Source organism: Homo sapiens, chromosome 1 (genome assembly GCF_000001405.40).
Source record: "Homo sapiens chromosome 1, GRCh38.p14 Primary Assembly".
In the NCBI taxonomy this organism is placed as follows: Eukaryota; Metazoa; Chordata; class Mammalia; order Primates; family Hominidae; genus Homo; species Homo sapiens.
In genome coordinates this window covers 94,927,822-94,948,169 of record NC_000001.11, presented here as the reverse complement: position 1 = coordinate 94,948,169, position 20,348 = coordinate 94,927,822, and the positions used below count along the sequence as shown (strand labels likewise).

At 41.1% G+C, this 20,348-nt stretch overlaps 1 long non-coding RNA gene across 3 annotated transcripts in view, besides 3 other annotated features; it reads right to left on the bottom strand.

The window, feature by feature from the left end:
- The window catches only part of CNN3-DT (CNN3 divergent transcript), a 36,911-nt gene that overhangs the window by 15,101 nt on the left and 1,462 nt on the right, over positions 1 to 20,348 (bottom strand). For 2 of the 3 annotated variants that reach the window (NR_168376.1, NR_168377.1), the window contains exon 2: positions 16,185 to 16,298. This is a non-coding gene — a long non-coding RNA (CNN3 divergent transcript). Of the gene's footprint in view, positions 1 to 16,184; positions 16,299 to 19,767; positions 20,143 to 20,348 lie in introns of those variants that run through there. The other variant, NR_033998.1, reaches the window with a different exon arrangement.
- Positions 10,861 to 11,715: an enhancer, noted in NCBI's record as "OCT4-NANOG-H3K27ac-H3K4me1 hESC enhancer chr1:95402011-95402865 (GRCh37/hg19 assembly coordinates)". NCBI's record gives its function as "activates a minimal SCP1, AML or CMV promoter by ChIP-STARR-seq in primed H9 embryonic stem cells {active_cell/tissue: H9 hESC(primed)}" and the evidence as "EXISTENCE:reporter gene assay evidence [ECO:0000049][PMID:30033119]".
- Positions 11,023 to 11,317: a silencer, noted in NCBI's record as "tiled region #980; K562 Repressive non-DNase unmatched - State 22:ReprW". NCBI's record gives its function as "represses a minimal TATA promoter and a strong SV40 promoter by Sharpr-MPRA in K562 cells {active_cell/tissue: K562}" and the evidence as "EXISTENCE:reporter gene assay evidence [ECO:0000049][PMID:27701403]".
- Positions 11,716 to 12,570: an enhancer, noted in NCBI's record as "H3K27ac-H3K4me1 hESC enhancer chr1:95401156-95402010 (GRCh37/hg19 assembly coordinates)". NCBI's record gives its function as "activates a minimal SCP1, AML or CMV promoter by ChIP-STARR-seq in naive H9 embryonic stem cells {active_cell/tissue: H9 hESC(naive)}" and the evidence as "EXISTENCE:reporter gene assay evidence [ECO:0000049][PMID:30033119]".

The window sequence follows — 20,348 nt, the reverse complement described above, 5'->3', positions numbered from 1 at the left end:
TCTAGAAAAAAAAAAAAAAAGCAAATCTTTCATTTTATAAAGATTTTTTTTTTTTTGAGACAGAGTCTTGCTCTGTCACCCAGGCACAGTGGCGCAATCTTAGCTCACTGCAACCCCTGACTCCTGGTTTCAAGCAATTCTCCCTGCCTCAGTCTCCTGAGTAGCTGGGATTACAGGTGCACACCACCACGCCTGGCTAATTTTTGTATTTTTGGTAGAGACGGGGTTTTGCCATGTTGGCCAGCCTGGTCTTGAACTCCTGAGTTCAGGTGATCTGCCTGCCTTGGCCTCCCAAAGTGCTGGGATTACAGGCGTGAGCCACCATGCCCGGCCAAAAAGATTTAATAAAATGATACTTCTTTCCAGCTGGTTAAATTTAAAACACTGGAAAAAAAAGTTTCATGCAAGACTGTTCTCCAAGTCTGGGCCAGAGCAGTTTCATTTGAGAGTGAGCTGATTGCGTTGGTATTTAACTCACAGCCACAAGCATTTGTCCACACAGGGGAGAGAAGCAGGCCCTTGTAGCCCTCCTGATTTGCCTGACAGTGCCATGAAGACTGCTGCTGTATTATTGCTGCTGGCCCTTCCCTTAGTGCTGACAGATTTCAGGGAAGAGCTGTGCCAAAACTGTTAGTATTTTCCTCTTCAGTTCTCAAATTAAGACATTTCTTGATCTCCTCATGACTCCACCTTCTCTGTTTTTTTGAGGGAATTTGGAGGCCTACATTCTATAACTGGCAAAAAATGATGGAGACAGATAGCAAATGCATCCAGCTGCAGAAGGAGGCAATACATTAAGTCAAATCAGTATTTATTTACTGAGCATTGGTACTACCTAAACCCTGGGTCGGGAATAAAAAAGTAAAATGTGACCCTTGCCCTCCAGGAGCATATAATGAGTTTGTATTAGACAAGACGTTTTGGTATCAGGGAACAGAAGGCCACTTGGGCTGGCTTATGCAAAGCCAGGAATTTATTATACACAAGGGAAGGAAAGCTTCTGCGTCTCAATGAGGGATAAAACCCAAGAACTGGATGCTAACAGGAACCAGTGTTGCTCTCCTTGTCTCTTGGAGGCCCCAAGTCTCTCACAGCTGCTTTTATTCTGAGCCTCAACTTCGTGCTCACTTCCTGGAGATCAGTTTTATCTGTGGAGATGAGCAGAGGCTGCTTGTTGTACCTATGATGTCACTGTTCCCCTTTTTCTCTGAAAAGAGAGTTTTAGCTGAACACTTGGCCACTCAGCTGACAGATGCACTTCCAAGCTTCCCTTGCTGTTAATTGTAGGCATTTACTAGGCTTTAGCCAATGTGATATGGGCAGAAATGATATGTACAACTTCCAGGTTACACTCTTAAATAGAAAGGAATGGGCGCCTCCTTTCCTCTTTTTCCCTCCTTGCTGCCTGGGTGTGAATAAGATGGCAGGAGTTGAAGTAATTGTCTTTAACCTAGCAATAGAATTACAGGTGGAGAATGGCAGAGCAACAAGGTGAAAGGAGCCTGGGTCCCCAACTCCATGGAGCTAATGTGATTATTAGCCCTGACCCAACTGCTTAGCCTCAGACTCTTATATAAGAGGGAAACATAGATCTCATTTGAGCTAGTATTATATTGGGATTTTATTGAGGAAGCCAGAACCTGCAACCTAACTTTTAAACCTGCTTTCTCTGTTTTTCTACGTATAAGATTGCTCTAAATTTATAAGACCTCAGTTTAAGTGACCAAACAAGAAATTCAACTTCAAATACCCAGGTAAGAGGATCGATTGGGGCATCTTCAGACTTCTAATCAGCTAAACTTAGAGGGGAGGGTAAAAGAATACAAGCCTAGCTACGGGGGCTACTGTGGGTGGGGGTAAAGTTGGGGGGTCATTTTCAGCGGGGGGTCATTTTCAGCGGAGGGTCATCTACTTTATTGACCATGCTTCTATATTGAGACCCACCATTCTTAGAGGTATTTGTGTAATTATTTTAGAAGGAAATTATGTATAATGTGTAAAAGCCAAGCCTATGCATTAAATGGAATAGTGAGTGAAAAGGAAATTTCAGAAATTGGAAGAGAAACTGACATCTCTCTGTCAATTAATAAAGTCTCCTGTGAGTGTGAAGATAGACTGGCTGGCTAGGTGGTGACCTTGTTTTCCCACACAGATCTTCCAAAGCTGCTTGGTCTGTCAGAGAAGATGACAGTCACAAATAAAGAAGAAAGGCTCTTTAGTATTCGGAGCTGTGTTTTCCTGCTAGATCCGCAAAACAGACATAATTAGTGTGTTTATATGAGATCTGTTTAGTAGCTAGGAGAGAGTTTGAGAAAAAAGGAAGGTGTCTTCGTCACCTTCCTGTTTTAACAAAATAACATAGACTGGGTGCTTATAAGCAACAGAAATTTATTTCTCACAGTTCTAGAGGCTGAAAGTTCAAGCTTAGGATGGTTGGGTTCTGGTGAGGACCCTCTTTCTGGCTCGCAGACTGATGACTTATTTTTGTATCCTCACATGGAGTAGAGAGAGCAAGCTAGCTCTCTGATCTCTTCTTATAAGGGCACTAATCCCATTCATTAATGAGGGCTCCATACTCATGACCTAATAAGGTCCCACCTCCAAATACCACCATACTGGGGATTAGATTTCAACATATGAATTTCTGGAGGACACAAAAATTTAGTCTGTCACATTCTGCTCATGGTCCTGAAAACTTATGTCCTTCTCAAATGCAAAATACACTTGGTCATTCCATTCCAACAGCTCCCCAGCCTCACCACCAATTTTTAACTCATTCTGGCATCAACTCCAAAATCTAAAGTCTGAAGTCTCATTGAAGTATTATCTAAATCAGATATGGGTAAGACTCCACATATAATTCATACTGAGGCAAATTTCCTCTCCAGCTGTGAACTTATAAAACCAAACAAGTTATGTACTTCCAAAATACAATGGTGGAACAAGCATAGGGTAGATATTCCTATTCCAAAAGATAAAAATAGGGAAGAAGGAAGGTGTGACGGGTCCCAAATAAGCCCAAATCTAGCAAGGCAAACTCCATGGGTTCCTAAGTCTCCTAGCTCTGCACTCTGCCCTCCAGGCCTGCTGGAGAAACGGTCCTGCCTTTGGGACCCGCTGTGTGGCAGTCTCACCTTCCACACCCACTGAGGCTGCAGTCCCTATCCTGTGGCTCTGACAGGCAGGGGTCCTGCCCCCAAAGGTCTTGCTAGGTTGGAGTCAAGCCTGCACAGCTTTGAGTGAGGATCATCTGACCTGTTGAAAACAAGGCGACAGCTCCTCATTTCAAAACTAAGGAGGCAGCCCTGATGATCTGTGAATCGCTTTCATGGTCATTCTTCCCTTGTCTTGGAGAATAGTGCACATTTGCAGCCAAATAGCTCTAAGGTACTGTCCTGCAAAATCCAAGACTTCTGACATCCTTCCTTCATTCCTTCCCTCTCCTTCCCCTTCAAGTTAAACTGTCAGTTTATCTGTGGGGAGCTGAGTAAATTCATGGTTCACACCTAATCTCCTTATTGAATGGTTTCTTGGCCACACACCCTGAGTGTCCTCTTCCAAACGTGCTTTTCATATTTTTTTTGCAATACAGATAGGTTGAGAATTTTTCAGATAATTATGTTCCAGTTCCTTTTGCTTAAAAATTCCATCTTTAAGTCATTCTCTCTTCTCACATTTCACTGTTAGCAGTTAGGAGGAACCAAGCCACTTCTTCAACACTTTACTTAGATGCCTCTTCAGCTAAATATCCATTTTACCACTCACAAATTCTACCTTCCACAAAACACTAGAACATGAACACAACTCAACCAAATTCTTTGCCATTTTATAATAAGGATCACCTTTTGGCCATTGTCTGATAATGTGCTCCTCATTTCTATCTGAAACCTCATCAAAATGGCCTTTATCATTCTTATTTCTACCAACATTCTGTCCATGATTACTTATATATTATCTAAGAATATAAAAGCTTCCTCTAGAGCTCTTCTCTTACTATTTTGAGCCTTCACCAGAATTGACTTTAAACATCCCATCATGACAATCTCAGCTTCTTCTAGCATGCACTTTGAAACTTCTAATTCCAAAGCTGCTTTGACATTTTTAGGTATTTGTTAAAGGAGCACTCTACTTCTCAGTACCAATTTCTGTCTTAGTTAGCATGGACATCACTAACAAATTACCATAGACTGAGAAGCTCATACAACAAACATCTACTTCTCATAGTTCTGGAGGCTGCGCAGTCCAAGATCGAGGACTGGCAGATCCTGTGTCTGATGAAGGTTTTTTTTCCCTTGTTGCAGACTGCCAACTTTTTCTCGTATCCTCTTACGGAGTAAAGAGGGCAGGCTAGCTCTCTTACCTCTTCTTATAAGGCACTAATCCCATTCACAGGGCACCATCTGCGTGACCTAATCACCCCCCAAAGACCCCTCTTCCCAATATCATCACCTTCGGTATTAAATTTCAATGAGAATTTTGAGGGGACACAAACATTCAGACCATAACAGAAGGAATGTTAGACTGAAGACCGGCACTTCTGGGGTATTGGCAGGATAATTCCCAGTAAATGAAATGAGAGTGGCGAAGGACGCTTTTCTTGATGGAAGCAGGGGGTTCTTTGAGCTCATCCTTGTCTCTCTTCCCCTATTCTCCCTTGCAGCCAGCAACTAGAGTGTAATAGTTAAGTGAATGGACCCTGGAACCCCTCTGACTAACCTGGGCAGGTCACCCTCTCTGGGCCACAGTTTATTCATTTTTATCTATGGAAGGGATATAACATTACTCACCTCACAGGGTTATGTTAGGTTATAGGGAAATTTGTAAAAAGTGCTGAAAACAGTGCCTGCACAGAGTCATGCTATCATAATTAATCAAGCCTCTAATAATGATTACTATTCTTTCATTAAGCAAATGATTAGTGCCAGGGTCAAGAGACCCAACTGAGATAAGTAACGTGCTCAAAGCTTCACAACTAATAATTGGTGTTGCTGGGTTTGACACAAATGGATCTGACTCTAAAAAATGGGCTCTGGAGAGAATTCTTATCAATGTCACCACACACCCTCCCTTTCTTCTTACTTTTTTTCTTTTATTACAGTCATCACAGTAATAAAAGAATTAGTCTTTAAATCTAAGGAGCATACACAGTCAATTGTAATACAGGGCATTAAATTCTATTATATAGATTAAAAACTAAAAGTCATGGGAACCCAGAAGTGTGTATTTACCCAGACGGAGTAGCAGGACAAAGGAGGCTTCCTGGAGAAGATGACTGATCAGCTCGGTGAGAGGGAGCCAGGTAAGACAGTAAGACAGAAAGAGGACCATAGAAAAAAAGGTTTTCTGGATACAGCTGCTTTACTGAATTACTAAAAGCAGGCCACTGACTAGAACATGGAATTTGAGAGCCCTTTTTGCCAACCTAGTTGTCAGTGAGACATTCTATGTGAAGAAGACTTTGTACAGTTAGATGTTTGGAGTTTATTCTGGAAGCACAGGTATGTTCCGTAATAGAAAGGCAAGGCTGATTGTGCAGCTGTCCTTGGGCCCGTGTGGTTCTGGTTAAGTAAAAGACCTAAGAACAATCGTTTTGACTTTTTCTGAATTAGTTCAGATGATAAAACTCAAGCAGAGAAAATCATGACTTTCAAGGCATGGACTTTGTCTGTCTCGCTGCTGTCTCTTCAGAGTCTAGGACAGAACCTGGTACACAGTAGACACTCAACAGATATTTGTTGAATGACTAAATTGGATAAAAAGATGTGTGCATTTTAAGAGCAGCACTTGCCAACCTTTGTTCATCCTTTGTGGGCTGACGCAGACTAGAACTGTATTTTTGGCTTACATCTGAAGGAGCCAGCAACTTTTTAAGTTACGTATTAACCAGTCTTTTGGATGGTTGTATAAATGACTCAGCAGTCCTCAGGAGGTAACATTGTAATCTTAACTTATAAATAATAAATGGACACCTGCTTTGTATTCAGAACTCAGTTAGGAACAAGTAAGGAACAGATATAAGATATAATCCCTATCCCATGGATTTAAGATACTATGCAGCCAGGTGTGGTGGCTCATGCCTGTAATCCCAGCACTTTGGGAGGCCGAGGCAAAATGATCACTTGAGACCAGGAGTTAGAGAACATCCTGGGTAACATAGCAAGACCCTGTCTCTACAAAAATATAGAGACCTAATCTTTATAAAAATATAAAAATTAGTCGGGCATGGTGGTACACACCAGTAGTCCCAGCTACTCAGGAGGCTGAGGCAGGAGAATCGCTTGAACCTGGGAGGTGGAGGTGGCAGTGAGCTGAGATCGCACCACTGCTCTCCAGCCTGGGTGACAGAGTAAGACTCTGTCTCAAAAAAAAAAAAAAGAAAAAAGAAAAAAAGAAATTAGCTGGGCATGGTGGTACATGCCTGTAGTCCCAGCTACTCAAGAGGCTGAGAAAGGAGGATTGCTAGAGCCCAGAAGTTTGAGGTTACAGTGAGCTCTGATTGAGTCACTGCACCCCAGCCTGAGTAACAGAGCAAGACCCTGTCTCTGAAAAAGAAGAAGAACAAAAGGTGTAAGGCCAGATGCAGTGGCTCATGCCTGTAATCCCAGCACACTGGGAGGCCAAGGCAGGTGGATTGCCTGAACTCAGGAGTTTGAGACCAGCCTGGGCAACATGGTGAAACCTCATCTCTACCAAAAATACAAAAAATTAGCCAGGTGTGGTGGCACACACCTGTGGTCCCAGCTACTTGGGAGGCTGAGGTGGGAGAATCACTTGAGCCTGGGAGGCAGAGGTTATAGTGAGCTGAGACTGTGCCAAAGCACTCCAACCTGAGTGACAGAGTGAGACCCCGTCTCAAAAAAAAAAAAAAGAAAAGAAGATTTAAAGATGGGAATAGCACCCATGAAAAAAGAGCGGTTATTACCAAAGTTAATCATGTGATAATAACTAACGGTGGTTTAACTCATACATGCCAAGATAAGAATACACAAATAACTGGGGTATAAGATAAATAACTGAGAGTTAGTGTTAGTGCTATGGTTTGAATGTGTCCCCCAAATTTCATGTTGGGAACTTAATTCCCCAATGTATATGTTGATGAAGGTAGGGGCCTTTGGGAGGTAATTTGGATTAAAGTTATCAGGGTGTGGCCTCTATGATGGGACTAGTGGTTTTACAAGAAGAGGAAGAGAGATGTGAGCTGACATGCATGTTCTTGCTCTCTTGCCATGTGATGCCCTCTGCCATGTTATGACACAGCAAAAAGATTCTCACCAGATGCCAGCACCATCCTCTTGGACTTCTCAGCTTCTAGAACCATGAGCTAACTAAAATTAGTCTTTTTCTTTTTTTGGAGACAGTGTCTCACGTCATCACCCAGGCTGGAGAGTGCAATGACACGATCTTGCCTCACTGCAACCTCCGCCTCCTGGGTTCAAGAGATTCTCATGCCTCAGCCTCCCGAGTAGCTGGGGTTCTAGGTGTGTGCCACCACACCTGGCTACTTTTTTTTTTGTATTGTTAATGGAGACAGGGTTTCACCCTGTTGGCCAGACTGATCTTGAACTCCTGATCTCAAGTGATCCGCCTGCCTCGCCCTCCCAAAGTTTGGGGATTACAGGCATGAGCCACTGCTCCCGGCAGTAAACTTCATCTTTCTGTTGCTATAACAGAATACTACAGACTGGATAAAATATGAAGAAAATACGTGTAGTTAGCTCACAGTTTTTTTTAAAGCAAGTTTAATTTCACCTTGGGAAGATATATTTAGAAATAATAACATATTATCATTTAAATCCCACACAACCTTATTTTACAAATGAAACAGCTGAAGCTTACAAAGATCATGTAAATAATCTACCTAAGGTCCACAGCAGACAAACTCAAGGCTGTTTTCTTAACTTCTACCCTGTACTGCCTACTGTATTTCAAAACTTTCATTAAGAATATGTTCCAGAGAACACGATGTCAGAGGGAAATAAATCATATGTACAATTGATCCATGAACAACATGGGGATTTGGAGTGTGAACCCCCTGTGCAGTTGAAAATCCATGCATCACTTTGGACTCCCCAAAACCTTAACTACTAATAGCCTAGTGTTGACCTGAAGTTCTTACCAACAATGTAGTCAATTAATATATATTCTGTATGCGATGTACATTATATACTATATTCTTATAATAAAGAAAGCTAAATAACAGAAAATGTCCTTAAGAAAATTATAAGGAAGAGAAAATATATTTACCATTTATTAAGTGGATGTGGATCATGACAAAGGTCTTCATCTTCATCATCTTCACATTGAGTAGGTTGGGAAGGTGGAAGAAGGGGAGTTGGTCTTGCTGTCTCAAGAGTGGCAGAGGCAGAAGAAAATCCACATGTGTAAGTGGATGCATGCAGTTAAAAAACCCATGTTGTTCAAGAATCAACTGTATATATAAAACCATTATACTTTCTGAAAATAATTAAGTAGCTAAGTTTCTTGAAGTTTTTTTTTTCCTGTTTCTTTTTTTCCTTGTTTTAGTCCATTTATGCTACAATAACAAAATATCTGAGACTGGGTAATTTATAAACAATAGGAATTTATTTCTCACAGTTCTGGAGGCTGGGACTCCAAGATCAAGTTGCCGGGGGGCTCAGTATATATCTGGTGAAGGCTGTTCTCTGCTTCCAAGATGGCAGCTTGTTGCTGTGTTCTTACATGACAGAAAAGCAGAAGAGCAAAAGGGGCTGAACTCTGTGTGAAGCCACTTTTATAAGGGCCTCAATCCTATTCATGAGAGAGAAGCCTTCATGGCCTAATCACCTCCTAAAGACCCCCAGCTCTTAATACTATTGCATTGGAGATTAAGTTTCAACATGAATTTTGGAAGACACAGTCAGACCACAGCATTTCTGGTAAGACAACAGTAAAACCAGGCAATTCAAAGGAAAATTTTAACAGCTGAAAATGATTTTTTTTTTTTGGCATTTGGAATAATGCCTATAAATCACACCCATATCCTCTTCAAGCTGAGAACTGAAAGCAAAAATTGCTCAAATCAGTTTACAAAGCAGTTTCTCTAAAAATATTTTTGAAAGAAAAAAACTTTTAGGTGAGGCTAAAATATATATATATATATATATATATATATATATATATATATATATATATTTATTTTAATTTGTGATCATGATCCAAACTATTTAGAATGCAAAGTTGGAGAAAGAAATGGAAACTAGTATAGTGGCCAATTCTAAATACACAAAAAAGAATGGAAAAATTCTTTCCTATTATGTTGACCACATTCCTTCTCTGAATCATAAAGCTCTCAGTTGAGCAAGTATTATAATCAGTGCTTATTTATCTAAAATGGCTGGAAAATGTGCCCACCTACCTAATTTTATTTTTCAGGTGAGTTATTAGATGCACCATTCAAGAATTTCTATTTCTAAATCACCTCAATACTTAACTAATCTGGTCTTATTTTAACCTTTAATTCAGAAAATAAAGACAGATGGGTTTTTCAGGATCACAGATCCTCATTGTTCCTCCTTTCAGGCCAAAATCCTCATAGCCTTCAAAACCCTGCTTCATCTGATCTCTGCCTACCCTTCCCACTTCATCCTTCTCCCACTTGCTCAATGCCCCCAGCCACTTCTGTTTCTTTCTGTTTCAAGCTGATTCTCTCAATACACTTGCCCTGACGACACCCTCTGCCAGCAATGCATTTCTCCCTTATCCTCTCAACATTCACATCTCTGCTTGAACATCACCTCCTCCCCAGACACCCTCTCTCAAGCAGCACACACACTCCCCGGCATAGTATCCATTCACTATCTTCACAGTGCTCTTGACTCCCTGAAATAATCTTCCTTATGCTATTGCTTGACTATGGCCTGTAACCCATCCCCTACTAGACCAAAAGCTCCTAAGGAAGGATCTTAACCCTCTCATTTACGATTGTATTCCCAGGGCCTGGAAGAGCCCTATGCAGGACTGGCTCTCAACAAACAGTTAATGAGTCAATTTCATGAAATAAAGTTCACCAAATGATATACCTCTGAAGATGCTTTAGAGCATGATATGATATTGTTATCAACTTGTTATTTTATATTCATTGATTAGATTGTTAAAAGATATACTTAGGCACATGAAAATGTTACAGAGTTTATTTGGGGAGAGAGCAATTCATGAATTGGGCAGTACCAGGCGGCAAGGGGTTTAGCATTCCACCCAGGGAGCATGAGGTGAAACATTTATAAGGTGTTTGTGAAAGCAAGGCCAAAAAAAAAAAAAAAATTAGGTTAAGGTGAAAAGTCCCTTTGGCCTCATCTAGAAGTTAGTTGGTCATTTCTAACTGGTTAAGTTTGTTTCATTTTAGTGCTTACATTGAGTTGGGTTTTAGTTTGCTTGTGTTGGAACCTGAGGCACTGGTACAGTCTCAGCAGAATGCTTCCCAATTAATTATTTTAACAAGATAAACATTTATTGAATGATTACTATGTATAAAGTGTGGGGAATACAATGTCGAACAGAATGGTTCCTGCCCTCCTGAAGTGAGTCATCTAATGGGAACTTAACAAAAAAATTATGTTACTTGAGTTTTCTGCTTACTATATTAGTGTATTTATTTATTTATTTATAGAGACAGAGTCTTGTTCTATTGCCCAGGCTGGAGTGAAATGGCATGATCATAGCTCACTGTAACTGTGTGGCTAATTTTTAAATTTTTTGTAGAGATGGGGTCTTGCTATGTTGCCCAGATTGGTCTTGAATTCCTGACCACAAGTGATCCTCCCCCTGGGAACCATTACAGTTGGCCAATGCTTTTAATACTATGGAAATAAATGCCTATTTTCCAAGCGTCTTCACTACCAAAAAGTAAACACATTTATTTTAAGAAACAGGTGCTAAGCAACTTTCAGCATAATCTGCAAATAATTTTCTTTGTCAGAACAGTGCTACGTGATGAAATTTAGACCATTAATACACTTTATTCCCACTGCCTCAACTAGTGAAAGGAATTGCATTTCAATAGGGACGTTTCAGAGTGAACACTGTTTACAAAGGAATTAAACTGCATTAGTATTTTGATACCATCTTAAATTATCTAAGGTTTTTGATAAGCAACAAAGACTGGAATGTGACACTGGAATGTGAGTCATTCTGCATTTCAAAAGATTGCTGAGTTGAGATTCTTGATGTTAACCCTACTTCTTACGAATAAAAGCTTTTAAGCTGTATCCTTATCGAAATCAAGAACACAAATTATCATAAAGAAGCTAAAACTGAGCACCTGTATTTGATAGAGGTATTATAAAAGGCAGTGGGGCCTGGAACCTTTCTGATCCTCCTTCCCTTTGACAATAAATAAATGTAGTAGAATCCTATTCCCTAAAAATGTAGGTGAGTACATACACACACAAAAATAATTGCATAAAAGTCTTGTGAAGGTTATGAACTCCAGAAAAAGACAACCCTGACTGAGGCCTCTCCTCTCTTCCAGAATTCCCTTTTGGGACTGCCAAGTCCTGTGGCTGCTGTCAAAACACTGTGTTTTATTGTTAACACCAAATTTAGAGAATCAGCAATGTCTTTGAACCTGAACGACAATAGATAAAATTAGTGAGGTATTCCCAATTGTTTCAAGCAGGAATAAGGCAAGGAGAGAGAAGAAACAACGTACACACACACACACAGAGAAAGAGAGAGAGAGTGAGAATAAATGAATATGGGAATGAGGAGAGGAAGGACAGCTATCATGAGAAAGAGAAAGTGGCAGGAGGAGTTTCAAAGGGAGAGGTGGTCTGTCTTCCTTCCTCATGTCCAGAATGAGCACTTCACTCCCTCAGCTCCTGCCAGCCCCTTCCACCCCCAGAACTCTCACCTCTTCAGCTTTCCTGGCCCCTGCCTTTAGAAACCCTATAAATTCGCTTTTGCTTCTCTCAACCCAGCTATCTACTTGTTAAGGACTGCCCCCTTCTCAGCTTCCTTCCACTGGTTTCTTTCTTTCTAGTTTTTTGAGACAGGATCTCACTCCATCGCCCAGGCTGGAGTGCAGTGGCAGGATCACTGCTCAATCAGCCTTGACATCTTTGGCTCAAGCAATCCTCGGGACTACAGGCACACATCACCATGCCTGGCTAATTTTTGTATTTTTAGTAGAGATGGGGTTTCACCATGTTGCCCAGGTGGGTCTCAAACTCCTGGGCTCAAGTGATCCACCTGCCTTGGCTTCCCGAAATGCTGGGATTTCAGAGATGAGCCACTGCCACCTGGCCTTAAACACGGTTTTCTAAATCTGCTCCCTCCATTTCTTCACTGACTCTTCCCTTCCTTACCCCAGAATGTGATTTCTACTGGAGCTGTGGCTTGAGGCTTCTCCATGAGAAGGACCATACTGAAAAAATAAAAGGCTCTTTTCCTTTCTGCATTTACGTTGTATGTTTGTTCAGCTTTTTCCTTAAAACTTTCTTCTTCCTTGTTTGCTGAGTTCATTTTAGTATTCTTTGTACTTGTTTGTGATTTTACTTGCTTTTTCTTTTTCTCCAAATTTCTGAGCCACCCCAGAATTTAATTCTTGCTTTTCTGTGTTCTTTACACTTCCTGTCTGAGGAAACTATAGATTATAATGACTTAATGTGCCAAGAAAAACATAGGTTTCAGAAGCAGAAAAAAAAAACCTAAGCTCTAGTTCTGATCTTAGTGCTTTGTGACCTTAAACAAGTCACTAACCTCTCTAAGCCTCGGTTTCTTCCTCTAAAAAAAAAAATGAGGACAATAATATTTCCTTCTAATTGTAATTTTGAATATTAAATGGGATAAGATTTGTAAAAATGACTAAGTGCTCATCATATTATTCATCAGGCAAGCAATTGTTGACCATCTACTTTATGCCAGATTCAATATAAGATCCTAGGGAATGATGCAGTGAAGAAGACATAGTTTCCTGCCCTAAATCTACTCTCAGTCTAGAAAGGGGCATGTAAACAAATAAATTACATGACACTGTGTCAGCAGCAACAATAGGAACATTTACAAAATAGAAAGGACAAATAGAAAAGGGGCTGAATAAATCTCACGGAGGTTTGTGAGACAAGGAAGCCTTCTGGGAAAGGTGATATCTGAATCCAATTTTGAAGGATAAATGTTAACAAATAGAAGCAGAGAAAACAACGTATTCAAAGATACCTAAGTGTGAAACAGCGTGGCCAATTCAGGGCTGTTTCTAGAATTAAAGCACAAGGTTGGAAGTGACAGAAGACAAGATTGGAGAGGCAGGGAGAGGCCAGATAATAGTCTTAGTAATAAGCATGCTAATAACACCCAATGATTGAGAAATTACCCTGTGTCAGGCACTGGGGCATAATTAAGTGCTTTGCATACATGATTTTTAAAAATTATCATTATAGCGACTCTGTAAGTCAAAGAGCTTGGGCTTGGCCCGTGGCCAAATGAAGAGCCACTAGACTTTTAAGTAAGGTAGTTATGATCCCATGCATATTTAGAAAAGCTATTGAGGCATCAGATTTTTAAAAAGTGTGGTGAAATACACATAAAAATTATTATCTTAACCATTTTTCAGTGAACAGTTCAGTGGCATTAAGTATATTCACACTGTTGTGCTACCATCACCACCATAGAACTTTTTTCATCTTGCAAAACTGAAGCTCTGTAGCTATTAAATGGTAACTCCCCACTACCTGGTCTCTTCATCCTCTAGCTGAATCATGCAGTATTCGGAATACCATATAGTATAGTAGAATGGAATCACACCGTATTTATCCTGTTGTGACTGGTTTATTTCAGTTAGCATAATGTTCTCAGCGTTCATCTTTGTTACAGTATATGTCAGAATTTTTTCCTTTTTAAGGAAATAATATTCCATTGCATGTATATACCACTTCTAGTTTTCTCATTCACCCACTGATGGACACAGGTTGCTTCCACATCTTGGTGGACAAAGGTATACAAGCATTTCTTTCAGACCCTGCTTTCAGTTAGGTTGGGTATATTCCTAGAGGTCTATGGTAATAGTGTTTTTAATTTTTAAAGGAACTGCCCTGCTGTAAGGCTTTGGAGATGAATCAGGAGAAAAAGGCTAGGGGCAGGATGCCATTTTGTGGCAATAAGAACCTCAGTTTCAAGCTGTTGGGAGTGGACGAAAGGCAATGTAGTTGAGCAACTGACAACACTTGGTTCCTAAATTGAGAAGAGGGAGGTAGATATTCTGGGTGACTCTCTTGTAGGATACCTTCAGATTTTGAGGGATCTGAAGCTTTTACAAGTTTAGGAACCCTCGAGATAAAAAAAATAAAATAAAAAACAACGGATAAAAAATCAAGTGTGGGACTCTAAAGAGGCCATGGAAGTGAGCGGCCTTGCAATACAGACTGGAGAGAGAAGAGCTTGTGCAGTGGGCATCATCTTTATTTGCCTCGCCAGCATCTCTTCCCCCATTTTCCTTTGGGGTTGTGCGTCTTCCCTCTCTCAGCTCCTGTGGTGCTGGCCGAGCTGCCAACTTACCTCCACACCTACTTTAGGCACATACCCAGGCCTGCCAGCAGTGCCTTCCTCCTGGTAGCTGCAGTGATTAGCATGGAAATATGTAGGTGACAGTGAGGCTCAATTCTGGGACTTTTGTTAGAACCATTGGGAAGTTTTTCACTTAGAAGATTAGGATGTAAACCTGGACCTTTCAGTGGTAAATTTCTCCCCTGGTGGGTAGGGCTGAGGGAGTTAGCAGAAGAGAAAAGGTATGTGGAGACACCCTGGTTTGTCATGCCTTTGACTGAGTCCTTGACTCTAGCCATGCCCAATGCTACATCTCCTTGACTTGTATGTCACATGAACCACTAAAGTCCACTTTTTGTCTAAGTCGGTTTGACTTCGTTTTCAGCTTCCATATCTGTTTATCATAAAGAACTCCGGTGGACCTTGTTTGGGTCATGTGCCTCCTTGAGCCCAGTACTTGGCCTAGTGGGGGATAAGGTAATCCCTTTGAAACGTCCGCCACATGCTTGCCTCTGGTGGAAAAGGTGGCACACGATGGATGTACTAATAGTATCACCTGGAGTAACTGGTGAGCACTCTCCAAAGGGAGGGGAAAAAGGAGCAAATGTACCTTACAAGAGCAATTTCAGGGAGCTTCCAGGTAGCTGAACCCATGAAGGTTCCTGAAGTGGGGCGTGACAGAGAGGCCGTGGCAGTTCTGCTCCCCTTCTCCCATACCTCATCCTATGCATCTCTTCTATTCGGCTGCTCACATGTGTTTTGGAAAAACTGATTTCAAATGAAGATGGGCAACAACAAAGGATCACTGCCAAATCCAATACAAAGTTGTTATTATAAAGAAAAAGATGTAAAGGATAGGAGCTTTTTTTTTTAAGACAGAGTCTCACTCTGCTGGAGTGCAGTCTCCCAGTCTGGAGTGCAGTGGTGCAATCTTGGCTCACTGCAATCTGCACCTCTGGGTTCAAGCAATTCTCTCGCCTCAGCCTCCTGAGTAGCTATGACTACAGGTGTGTGCCACCCTGCCGGCTAATTTTTGTATTTTTAGTAGAGACGGGGTTTCACCATGTTGCCCAGGCTGGTCTCGAAGTCCTGGCCTCATGTGATCCGCTTGCCTCCCAAAGAGCTGGGATTACAGGTGTGAGCCACTGCACCAGGCCAGGGGCATTTTTATAATAAATTCCATAAAGCATCCCCCCTTGCCCCCCTCAAAAAAGGGTGACTTCAGATTCTTCAGGAGTCTGGGAAGTTGGTTTTTGAGCAATCATTCTAAACCAGGCCTGGTTTCAAATCCCAACTCTGCTCTCTGTTAACTGTTTGATATTGACCGAGTTGTGTACCATACTAAACCTTAGTTTTTGATTATAAAGTAGGAATAGATAATATTGATTATTATAGGGTTATTGCAAGTGATGCCTATAAGTGGGGTGACTGTGATTTAGCATCTCAACGGGACACTTTTGAGGGTGAAATGAGCACACTATGAAGGGGCTTTATCAGGACTGCCTGAAACAAAAAAATATTAATAGTGCCCTTTCACTCTCAAAAATGCCCCTATTTGGGTGATGAATTTTGATCTCACTGCCTGTTATGTGCCTCTAATAGTGCTTAGCACATAGCAGGTGCTTAAAAGTCCCTTAGCCTCTGAGCCTTTTAGGGTCCCTTCTGCCTTTACCATAACTGATCCATACCTTTGTGGTTCTCTTTAATTCTCTGGCATTGTGGACTTGTTACAGGAACAGGGTCCCGATCCAACCCCAAGAGAGGGCTCTTGGATTTCACACAAGAAAGAATTCAGGGCGAGTCTGTAAAGTGAAAGCAAGTTTATTAGGAGGAATAAAAAAATGGCTACTCCAGACTGAGCAGCCCCTTGGGCTGCCGGTTGCCCTTATTTATAGTTATTTCTTGATGATACGCTAAACAAGGGGTGGCTTATTCATGCCTCCTTTTTTTAGATCATATAGGGCAACTTCCTGATGTTGCCATGGCATTTGCAAACTGTCATGGCGCTGGTGGGAGTGTAGCAGTGAGGACGACCAGAGGTCATTCTTGCCGCCATTTTGGTTTTGGTGGGTTTTGGCTGGCTTCTTTACTGAAACCTGTTTTATCAGCAAAGTCTTTATGACCTGTACCTTGTGCTGACCTCCTAACTCATTCTGTGACTTAGAATGCCTTAACCGTCTGGGAATGCAGCCTAGCAGGTCTCAGCCTTATTTTACCTAGCCCCTATTCAAGATGGAGTTGCTTTGGTTCACATGCCTCTGACAGATTTACAGGGTGAATTCTTCAAAACACTTTATGTTATTATTTTCGTGGCAAGATGTATGGCAATATGACCCACAAATTTGCCTCTGTGAAAAAATACTTTTCTACAACTCTCCAACAACTGCTTTTAATTAATAAAAATTTGGAAAGGTTGAGTTGACCTCCTTAACAGCATTTATTTCAATTGAAAGTGTTCTGCATATTACAGAAACTTCCAGGGAAAGTACTTAAGATTGCTGGGCCACACCCTGGTAGTTAGTTTGCAATGTGACATTTTACTTAAACTGAGCATTTACTGACACATTCTACTGTTAGAACTTGGTCAGGATTTTTGAAATGTATCCTAACAGTGACAAGTTAAATACCATAATAAGAAAACACACAATCCAATAAAAATAGGCAAAAGATCTGAACAAACATTTCATGAAAAAGATACACAGATGGCAAATAAATACATGAAAAGAAGCCCAACATCATTACGTATTAAGGGAATTCAAATTAAAACCATAATGAGATACCATACTCCACATCTATAAGAATGACTAAATTTAAAAAAACTGACCTACCAACTGTTGGTGAGGAAGCAGAGGAACTGGAACTCTCATACGCACTGGTGGGAATGTAAAATGGTACAATCATTTTGGAAAAAGTTTGCAGTTTCTTAAAAAGTGAAATATACATCTTTCACTTGATCCAGCCATTCCATTTATAGGTATTTATGGGAGAGAAATTAAAGCATATGTCCATACAAAGACTTGTACATGAATGTTCATAGCAGCTTTATTTGCAATAGCCAAAATCTAGAAACAACCAAAATGTTCATCAATAAGGGAATGGGTAAAATCACTGGTGTATCCCTACAGTTGAATACTACTCAGTAATAAAAGGAATGAACTAATGATACATGCTACAACGTCAGTGAATCTCGTAATAATTTTGCTGAGTGAAAGAAGCCAGATAAAACAGAATATACAATGTGTGATTCCAATTATATAAAATTCTAGGAAATACAAATTAATGTATAGTTACATAAAGCATATCAGGGGTTGCCTGGTGGGGTGGAGAGGTAAGGAAGACTGGGAGGGAGGGGCTACATGAGGAAACTTTTGGGTATGATGAATATGTCCTTTGTCTGTTGTGGTGATGGGTTTTTAAATAGGTGTATCTATGTGTATATGTGTGTATCAAACTGAACACTTTAAATATACTTTGTTATATCAATATACTTCAATAAAGCTGTTAAAATTGTCCCAAATTTTAAGTTTTTCTCATTTGATTCTATAGTGCCACAGTAGGTAGTCAGACACAAGCAGAGCAGGAGAGGGCTCCCCGCTCCCACCAGGAATGTCACGCAACCATCAGGTGGTCAGGCAGTTGTTAAACTGTCTCTCTAAAATAATAACTGGTCACAGCCGGCACCAGGGAAAGGCAGTCTCCCAATGGCTAGAAAATACCTACAACTGGTGATCAGCAGCTTCTGGATAGGATCTTAGGAGTTGGCTGAGTGGGCTCACAGGTGTGAACTAAGAGGCAAAATGGTGGCATTTAACTGGTACTCATATATGACCTTCTTCTAGGAACACTTGACTAGTAAGCGAAGAATGCCTCAAGTGAGCATGCGTACAACCTCAGTTAACACACTGAGCATGTGGTCCCTCCCAAGTGCTGGCAGGCCACTGCACATGCAGACAGCCCACCTCAAGGGAAGAATCAGGGGAAAAGGGACACAACCCCCTGGAAGCATGCCAATGTATAAAACCCCAAGTCAAAGGTCAAGCAGCGCACTTGAATCTCTCAAGTTGCCCGCCTGGCCCTCTTCCAAGTGTACATTACTTCGTTTCATTCTTGCTCTAACTTTCACTCCTGCTCTAAAACGTGCCTTGGCCTCTCCCTCTGCCTTATGCCTCTCGGTAGAATTCTTTCTTTGGAGGAGGCAAGAATTGAGGTTGCTGCAGACCCATACAGATTTGCTGCTGCTAACACACTTTGGTGCATGAGACTCAGATACATTCCCTAGTGCTAACAACAGCATTACGTATTCTTACACAATGAGTTAAATTAGAAACGAAGGAAGTCTCTGGAGTACTGATGGAATCCAAGAGGACCAACAATATTTAAATAGTAAGTTCCAGTGGCAATGTCAGAAAGAACTTCAAGTACCTTAGGGAGGATAACAGTTGATCAAACAAACAAATGTAGAAAATTTCATGTTTACTTTAAAGTCACGTAAGTGTACAATGGCATTAAGTACATTTACAATGTTGTGTGACCACTGTCACTACCCATCTTCAAAACTTTTTCATCATCCAAAACTGAAATCCTGCACTCCTTAAAAAATAACTCCCCCTAAACAATAAAATTCATGGTTTTCAAGACAAAATACAATTCTTGAACATTTTACAATAAGCTAAAGTAGATTAAAATGACTTTGAGCATACAACAGGAGCAGTCAGGCTTAGATTGCTGCAAAAAGGCTTTGCAGGCTGGACACCATGATTTGTACCTCAAATCTGGCTGCTATTTCCCACACTCCTAGGTCCCAAAGAAATGTGGGTGAGGTCCTGCGGTTGACACACCGTCACTGTCATACTACTGGAAAAACAGCCCAAACTGTTAGCCTCAATGATATTGGGTCAATTGTGTCATCTTCGTGTGGGAAGAATGCCCTAATTATCATTACTCCCTTTGGACAAAATTAGCAAGTCATTTATAAATCATTTCACTTTCCTCCCTATTTGCCTCCTCCCGCTTCCTTCAGGTTCCATCCCTCAAAGTCATTGGGAAAAGCCTTGCAAACTGGATAGCAGTTTTGTGCATTTCCGGTTCAAGCTGCCTTACTCACTTTTTTTTTTTAATTTAAAAAAACTTTGGATTTTTTGTAGAGACAGGATCTTGCTATGTTGCCCAGGATGTTCCTGAACTCCAGGCCTCAAGCAATCCTCCCACCTCGGTCTCCCAAAGTGCTAGGATTACAGGCATGAGCCACCACACCTGGTTCACCTTACTCACTTCTATTCCAGGACGGTTCAACTATGATGTTTTGGCTCCTCTTCTCAAGCAGCTTTCCACACCTGGTTCCATGATCTCTTCTGGCACAGTAGCTGGTATTTGGCAAACATAGGTTTCATCCTGGGATCTCAGGGATTGAAATCTGTCCTAGGTGTGCACCAGAAAGTGGTGGCAAGAGATGAAGCTTCGGAGGAGGCTGACCTCGGCCAGGATTCTTAAGTCTCAAAGTTTCAGCTTTCTCACCCCTCAACGGACATGAAATCTACCTATTTGTAACTCCAGGGAAGTAAATGAGATAATGTTTGGAAGATATCTAGTCTACCAGCTGCTCAGGCGGGGGGCGAAGGTTCTGTTCCCTGTCCCTTCTCTATCAAATGGCTTTAAAATCAGAAGAAAGTATTACGGGTAGGAAATGGGACTGCGAAAAAAATGGAGGCTGATTCTGGCCTAAAGGATACTTATCTCTATACAAAGGGCTTCTGATTCAAAGAGGCCCCGGGATTCAAAAACACAAGCAGAGCTACACCACGTGGGGTTTGGGACGAGCTGAATTCCGGATAAAGATGCCTGTAAAGAGGAGT